This window comes from Homo sapiens, chromosome 17, assembly GCF_000001405.40.
Source record: "Homo sapiens chromosome 17, GRCh38.p14 Primary Assembly".
Classification (NCBI taxonomy): domain Eukaryota; kingdom Metazoa; phylum Chordata; class Mammalia; order Primates; family Hominidae; genus Homo; species Homo sapiens.
The window spans coordinates 58,009,897-58,019,059 of NC_000017.11; positions in this window are offsets into that span (position 1 = coordinate 58,009,897).

The following is a 9,163-nucleotide window of genomic DNA, read 5'->3' on the forward strand; positions in this document are numbered from 1 at the left end:
TGGCCTAAGTCATTCTTGTGCCTCAGCCTTCCGAGTAGCTGGAATTACAGACATGTGCCACGATGCCCAGCTAATTTTTGTATTTTTGGTAGCTGGGATTACAGGCATGAGCCACCACGTCCAGCTAATTTTTGTATTTTTAGTAGAGACGGGGTTTCGTCATGTTGGCCATGCTGGTCTCGAACTCCTGGCCTCAAGTGATCCTCCGGCCTTGGCCTCCCAAAGTAGTGGGATTACAGGCATGAGCCCCTGCACCTGGCCGGCTTTTTTTTTTTTTTTTTTTTTTTTTTTTGAGACAGGGTCTTGCTCTTTCACTCAGGCTGGAATGCAGTGGTGCAATCACAGCTCACTGCAGCCTCGACCTCCTGGACCCAAGCGATTCTCCCACCTCAGTGTCCTTCGTAGCTGAGACTACAGGTATGCATCACCACTTCAGACTGATTTTTGTATTTTTTGTAGCGATGGGGTCTCGCCATGTTGCCCAGGCTGCTTTTGAACTCCTGAAGTCAAGCGATCCTTCCATCTCGGCCTCCCAAAGTGGGGGGATTACAGGCATGAGCCATTGTGCCTGGCCAGAGCCTGATATGTTTTTAAATGAGAAGGTGACCAAAAAAGATACTATTTCAACAAATCTACTGTTTCTAGCATTGTTCCATTAAGTGAATGGCAGAAAAGAGGAGAGTTTTTAAAAACTTGCAGCCTGTTGATTCTTTCATTCAACAGTTATTTGCTGAACACATTTTCTTTCTGTTCTTTTATACATCAGTTTAAATTTATGCAGGCAAAGCTTCTGTTAATCATAAGTCAATGATAACTGAAGTGATAACTGAAATCAGTAGTTTATAATTGGATAGTTCATTTTAAGAAGGGATGAGACAATACACATAGGTACTTTTAATTTCAAGGTAATTTCATTCCAGAAAAATATAATTGAATTTGCTTTTTGTTTGTTTGTTTGAGGTGGAGTCTCGCTCTGTCACCCAGGCTGAAGTACAGTGGCAGGATCTCGGCTTACTGCAATATCCTCCACCCAGGTTCAAGTGATTCTCGTGCCTCAGCCTCCTGAGTAGCTGGGACTACAGGCATATGCCACCACGCCTGGCTAATTTTTATATTTTTAGTAGAGATGGGGTTTCATCATGTTGGCTAGGCTGGTCTTGAACTCCTGACCTCAAGTGATCTGCCCACCTTGGCTTCCCAAACTGCTGGGATTACAGGCATGAGCCACCACACCCAACCTGAATTTGCTTTGATTTATTCTTGTCTAATTTAATGCAGTAATTTCTGATTTTGTTCAGTTCAGCACAGTACAAAGTAAAACTTAATTGAGAGTGAATAGGACATTCTTATTTCTGTTGGCATCTTTTTTTGTATTTGAATGTAACCAACTGTTCTGGAGTTGATGATGAGGTCAGTATATGGCAGGAAAAGTCTTGACGGCTGTTTTATCAGGTCTTGCAGGATGGCGTTAGCTTTGTGATGATTACAATTAAGGATGTTACCAGTTATCCAGAGTTAACATATTTCAGTCCACAAGAGTAAAACATCAAAAAAGCAAGTAAACAATTTATTTGGAAATAAGAACAAAACAAGGTGAATCATTTTGAGGGATATTTCATTCAGATCCTGAGACCTGATAAACGATCCCTGCCCCCACAGCAAAGTATTTCTCTCCAAGACAGGAAAATTCACAGCACCTGGATTCTGTGTCTCTGTTCCTGGGCAGTGCTGGGTAGAGACTGGCAATTATCTTTCTACAGGCTAATCTTCACACAGTTCTCTAAACAATATACTAGATGGTTGATTCCTTTTGTGCTGAGCAAATTACAACCACTTCCAGTTTTGCCTCCTAAGATTACATTCTCATCTTAATTGGAGTTTGAGGGTTTTCTAAACTCCTTAGTTATACATTCACTGGCATTTTTATTAATTGCTGCCACAACCAGCTGATTTAGTAAGCATGGACTTTACCAACTTCATTGTCGGAAGCAACCTAATTTTTAACACTATTACTGTTTATTAAAAGTTCCTTCCTCCAAGAGAAACTTTTTAAATACTTTTGATTCAATCCAATAATCTCAGGAGGAGACTTTTAAAAGTTCATGGAAAATGTGTATTATGAACAAATCATGCATGGATTTCAAAATTTTTTTACACCAAAATAAACTCATACTAACTTGTTATAACATGTATGAACAGGATCTAGTTTGAGGTACTAAAAAGAATAAGACATATGTTTGAAAAGAGCCCCTATCAGAGCAACATGTATTCTGTTAAAATTGAAGCAAGGACAAACATCAAATTTATGATGAACCTTGGGTGAAAAAATGGTGAAATCATTAATTCTTTACCAAAAGTTTATGGGCACAATGCCTCAAAGAAATCAGTATTTTATAATTGGAGAGTTCACTTTAAGAAGGGATGCTGGGCGCGGTGGCTCACGCCTGTAATCCCAGCACTTTGGGAGGCCGAGGCAGGCGGATCACCTGAGGTCGGGAGTTCAAGACCAGCCTGACCAACATGGAGAAACCCCGTCTCTACTAAAAATACAAAATTAGCCAGGCGTGGTGGCACATGCCTGTAATCCCAGCTACTAGGGAGGGTGAGGCAGGAGAATCACTTGAACCTGGGAGGTGGAGGTTGCGGTGAGCTGAGACCGCGCCATTGCACTCCAGCCTGGGCAACAAGAGCAAAACTCCGTCTCAAAAAAAAAAAAAAAAGGGATGAGACACTGTTGAAGAGGAAGCCTGCAGTGGCAGACTACCCACATCAATTTGCAAGGAAAAAATTAATCTTGTCATGCTTGAAGGCAATAATAAATACAGTGGTCCGTTTTCAAGACAAAATGCCTTACATGGGCTTAGGTCAGCAAACTACAGAAGAAACAGAACATACTAGACCCCTACTTGGACAGCTGATGCCTGCTTGTCAGCCTCCCTCTTCCCCCGCACTTCTCTTTCCCCCCTTAGTTGCCTTCACCCAAACCAAAAAAGTTTAGTATAAGATGAAAGTTTACTAGTCTGCAAAATAGCTCATTTTGTCTTCTCTTATCAGCCTGCCCAGCTACTTAGGTCATAAGTTAAATACTTGAATTGCCCCTGACCTAACTAGGATTGCAATGCATTGTGGGCTGCAATAAAATGCAGCAAGACAACCCTAAGAAAACCCTAAAGCCCCTACCCGACAATTAATAGTCAATGTCTGGGAAGATTGTGACCCCATAGTACGCAGCCTGTGAGAAACCAGGGGAGGGACCTGCACACTAGGGGATAAATTGCTTGTTAAAAAACTGTGCTGGGGGCCAGGTGTGGTGGCTCACGCCTGTAATCCCAGCACTTTGGGAGGCTGAGGCAGGCAGATCATGAGGTCAAGAGACCATCCTGGCCAACGTGGTGAAACCCCGTCTCTACTAAAAATACAAAAATTAGCTGGGCATGGTGGCATGCACCTGTAGTCCCAGCTGCTCGGGAGGCTGAGGCAGGAGAATCACTTGAACCTGGGAGGTGGAGGTTGCAGTGAGCTGAGATTGCGCCACTGCACTCCAGCCTGGTTGACAGAACAAGACTCCGTCTCAAAAAAAACAACTATGCTGGGGCCTGGTGTGGTGGCTCACACCTGTAATCCCAGCACCTTGGAAGGCTGAGGCGGGTGGATCACCATATGTCAGGAGTTTGAGACCAGCCTAGCCAACATGGCAAAACTCCATCTCTACTAAAAATACAAAAATTATCTGGGCATGGTGGCAGGTGCCTATAATCCCAGCTACTTGGGAGGCTGAGGCAGGAAAATCACTTGAACCTGGGAGACGGAGGTTGCAGTCAGCCAAGATCGTGCCACTGCACCCCAGCCTGGGTGACAAGAGCAAAACTCCATCTCAAAAAAATAAAATTTAATTTAAAAAAAACTGTGCTGGGTGTGCCTGTCTATCAGACACCCAATCTTGCAAGACTGTCATTAAAAGTCTCACTTTTGCTGTTCTCTGGGTCTCTGAGACAATTCTTTGGGTTTGGATGGGTAAGTTTGTTTCTCACATGCTCTCATAAAAGACGACCAACAATTAATAGCAGAAACCAAAGCCAATACCATAGACATCTCAATTGGTTTGGCTCACACAATTCTAACTGAAAAATTTAAGCTGAGCAAATTTTCCACTCAAAGGTTACTAAAACTGCACACCCAGATCAGCTGCACACAAGAGCAGAGCTTTCCATGGAGATTTTAAACAAGTGCGATCAAGATCCTGAAGCATTTTTTTGAAGAATTGTAACAGGACATGAAACATGGTTTTACCAGTACAATCCTGAAGGCAAAGTATAATCAAAACAATGGATACTAGGAGGTGGAAGTGGTCCAGTCAAAGCAAAAATGGATCAGTCCCAGAGCAAAGATCATGGCACCAGTTTTTTTTGGCTGCTCAAGGCATTTTGCTTGTTGACTTTCTGGAGGGCCAAAGAATGATAATTTGTGCTTATTATGAGAATAAGCAGATATGCTTATTATGAGAAAGCCAAAACTTTAGCAAAAAAAAAAAAAAAAAAAAACTGCCCAGGAAAGCTTCACTGGAGAGTTCCCCACCATGACAATGCTCCTGCTCATTCCTCTCAAGCAAGGGCAATTTTGCAAGAGGTTTAATGGGAAATCATTAGGCATCCACCTGGCAGTCTTTATTTGACTCCTTCTGACATCTTTTTGTTTCTTAATCTTTAAAAATGTTTAAATGGCACCCCTTTTTTTTTTTAATAATAATGTGAAAAAGGGCTGGGCACGGTGGCTCATGCCTGGAATCCCAGCACTTTGGGAGGCCAAGGTGGGCAGATCACCTGAGGTCAGGAGTTCAAGACCAGCCTGGCCAACATGGTGAAACCCCGTCTCTACTAAAAATACGAAAAATTAGCCAGGTATGGTGGCGTGCGCCTGGAATCAGCTACTCGTGGGGGCTGAGACAGGAGAATCACTTGAATCCGGGAGGCAGAGGTTGCAGTGAGCTGAGATTGCACCACTACACTCCAACCTGGGCGACAGAGTGAGACTCCATCTAAAAAAAATAAACAAAATAAATTTTAAAAAATTTAAAAAGTGAAAAAGAGTACATTGACATGGTTAAATTCCCAGGACCTGAAGTTCTTTAGGGATGGACTAAATGGCTGGTATCATTACTTATGAAAGTGTCTTGAGCTTGATGGAGCTTATATGGAGAAATAAAGTTTTTATTTTTATTTTTTAATTCCATTTTTTCCATAAACTTCCTGAAGTTCCCTCATATTAGTGTCAGCACCATACTTTACCCTGGAAATGATTACTTGGGGGGTAGGAGAAGAAAGAAATTCAAAGAGTTAACTGCTGTAAGAGCTGAAATCACGAGACACTTTTTTTTTTTTTTTTGAGACGGAGTCTCGCTCTGTCGCCCAGGCTGGAGTGCAGTGGCGTGATCTTGGCTCACCGCAAGCTCCGCCTCCCGGGTTCACGCCATTCTCCTGCCTCAACCTCCCGAGTAGCTGGGACTACAGGCGCCTGCCACCACGCCCGGCTAATTTTTTGTATTTTTAGTAGAGACGGGGTTTCACTGTGTTAGCCAGGATGGTCTCAATCTCCTGACCTCGTGATCCACCCCCCTCGGCCTCCCAAAGTGCTGGGATTACAGGCATGAGCCACCGCGCCCGGCCACGAGACACAATTTTTCAGTGATTTGCTTACTACTCAAAACTCCACCTGTGGTGATAGTTACATAACTGTGCACATATTTAAAATCATGGCATTGTCTACTTAGAGCAGATGAATTGTATGGTATGTAAATTATAACTCAGTAACTTTTTTTTTCCAAATGACTGGGGGAAGAAATACCTCTGTATCTCCACAGTTAGAAAAATCTCTCTCCAGTACCAATCCTCCAAAGGTATTATTGGGAGTGGGGGAAGTCCAAGAGTAATTTGCACTGAAATACGGCTTTCCTAATCTGGAAACTCTGTTTCCAACATTTTTTGTGCCAACCCTACTGTCTTTTGAGCGCATAATTCTTATTTTTACTACTAGGTAAAGAGACACTTAGAAAGGTTGGGATTACCACTCGATTCCACTGTGTACAGGAGTTTACTTCCAGAAACAATTCACTTGCAAGATTCTCTGTTCCCTTGCTCCACTTGATTCAGGGATAAATATTCTCTGAAAAGGAAAGAAACCGTGTATTTTAAATTTTCATTTATATTCGTCTCATCTTCCTTAGTAAGTTATATTGAGGACAGATTTCTGCTGTAACTCCCTTTATTACCAGTATATTATCTGTTAAAATGAATATTATTGACTATTTACTGACTGCTCTTTGAAAAAGTTGGGAAGTTAGGTGAGCAGAATGCTGTTTATATGGAAACTTCATCATGTTGCTGTCAGTGAATAGACACAATGGGTATAAAGATTTTTTTATTTCTTTTCATTTTTTAATTTTTATTATTATTTTTTTAAGACGGAGTCTCTCTCTGTTGCCCAGGCTGGAGTGCAATGGCACAATCTCAGCTCACTGCAACCTCCGCATCCCAGGTTCAAGCAATTCTCCTGCCTCAGCCTCCTGAGTAGCTGAGATTACAGGTGTGTGCCACCTTGTCTGGTTAATTTTTTATTTTTTTAGTAGAGATGGGGTTGGGGGGGGTGGTCTCACCATGTTGGCCAGGCTGGTCTTGAACTCCGGACCTCGTGATCCACCCACCTCAGCCTCCCAAAGTGCTGGGATTACAGGTGTGAGCCACCATGCCCAGCCTGTTTTTTTACTTCACAGTATAATAAAGATGGCCAAGCCAGGCGTGGTGGCTCACGCCTGTAATCCCAGCGCTTTGGGAGGCCAAGGCGAGGCAGATCACAAGGTCAGGAGTTCGAGATCATCCTGGCTGACACAGTGAAACCCTGTCTCTACTAAAATACAAAAAAAACTAGCTGAGCATAGGTGGTGCATGCCTGTAGTCCCAGCTACTCGGGAAGCTGAGGCAGGAGAATGGTGTAAAACCTGGGAGGTGGAGCTTGCAGTGAGCCAAGATCGCGCCACTGCACTCCAGCCTGGGAGACAGAGCAAGAATCCGTCTCAAAAAAAAAAAAAAAAAAAAAAAAAAAAAAAAAAAAAGATGGCCACCTTTTAAGCCCAAATAAGTCATCTAATAATATAGTCTTAGTAATTTTATTTTAGGACTTGCCCACCTCATTCTTTCATTCATTTTGTTTCATCTTTGGCTAATTCTTTCCATCTTTATTGTCCCGTTACTGATAATAATAGAATATGACTTTGGCAGGAAACAGCTCTTAAAATGATCTATTATGGGCTGGGTGCAGTGGCTCATGTCTATAATCCTAGCATTTTGGGATGCTGAGGCAGATGGATCACTTGAGATCAGGAGTTCAAGACCAGCCTGGCCAACATGGCAAAACCCCATCTGTAGAAAAATACAAAAAATTAGCCGGGAGTGGTGGCATGCGCCTGTAATCCCAGCTACTTGGGAGGCTGAGGCAGGAGAATCACTTGAACCCGAGAGGTGGAGGTTGCAATGAGCTAAGGTCGTGCCACTGCACTTCAGCCTGGGTGACAAAGCAAGACTCTGTCTCAAAAAAAAAAAAATCGATTATGAAAAGATGTATTTTCACCATGTTTTTCTTTTCTTATTACTACTATAATTGCTCTCCCCTTATTTCTGCCTAGTTCTTTCTTTTTCAAACTCCAATTCATATTATACATTTCCTAATTAGAGTAAGTAGCTCTTTAAGGTCCTATAAAAACATATTGCAGACATACTTTATTTGCGAAAAATGCTACCTTTGTTTTTGTGATTCTTTTTTTTTTTTTTTTTTGAGATGGAGTCTGACTCTGTTGCCCAGGCTGGAGTGCGATGGTGCAATCTTGCTCACTGCAACCTCCACCTCCTGGGCTCAAGCAATTCCCCTGCCTCAGCCTCCCAAGTAGCTGGGATTACAGGCACGCGCCACCATGCCCAGCTAAGTTTTGTATTTTTAGTAGAGATGGGGTTTCATCATGTTGGCCAGGCTGGAGTGCGATGGTGCAATCTTGGCTCACTGCAACCTCCACCTCCCGGGCTCAAGCAATTCCCCTGCCTCAGCCTCCCAAGTAGCTGGGATTACAGGCACACGCCACCGTGCCCAGCTAATTTTTGTATTTTTAGTAGAGACGGGGTTTCACCATGTTGGCCAGGCTGGTCTTGAACTCCTAACCTCAGGTGATCCACCCACCTCGGCCCCCCAAAGTGCTGGGATTACAGGCCTGAGCCACCGTGCCCGGCCGTTTTTGTGATTCTTATGCTGTGAGTCCTATATAAATGTTAGCTATCTTTATTAATAGTAATAGTGGTATTCTGTGTTACTACTACTATCAAGTATGTTAGAAAATTAATTTTGATAAATTTTTTAGTTTCAGGTTTTGAGTATGTGACAGTTTTTTCCTCTTTACTCTTTTCAAAAGGTATTCCAGATTAGGTGAGCTAAAAATCTCTCACAGTTACTTTTGTGTATTTACTTGCAGGACCATTGCAGAGCTTATTAGACCGAGAGCACTGGGTCAGCAAACTACAGTCCTCTGACCCACGGCCTGTTCTTTGGAATGCCCATGAGTTAAGAATGTTTTTTATATTTTTCAGTGGTTAAAAAACACACAAAAGAAGAATAATATTTTGTGCATGTGAAAAGTATATGAAAATCAAATTTCAGTGTCCATATTTAAGTTTTATTGGAACACAGCCATGACCACTTGTTTACATATTGTCTATGGCTGGTTTCATTCAACAAAGGCAGAGTTGAGTAGTTGCAACAAAGACTTCATGGCTCTGCCAGGCGCGGTGGCTCACGCCTGTAATCCCAGCACTTTGGGAATCTGAGGCGGGTGGATCATGAGGTCAGGAGATTGAGACCATCCTGGCTAACATGGTGAAACTCTGTCTCTACTAAAAATACAAAAAATTAGCTGGGTGTGGTGGCACGTGCCTATAGTTTCAGCTACTCGGGAGTTTGAGGCAGGAGAACCGCTTGCACCTTGGAGGCAGAGGTTGCAGTGAGCCGAGATCTCGCCACTGCACTCCAGCCTGGGTGAAAGAGCAAGACTCCATCTCAGGAAAAAAAAAAAAAAAAAAAGACTTCATGGCTCACAAGCCCAAAATATTTACTATCTGGCCCTTTACAG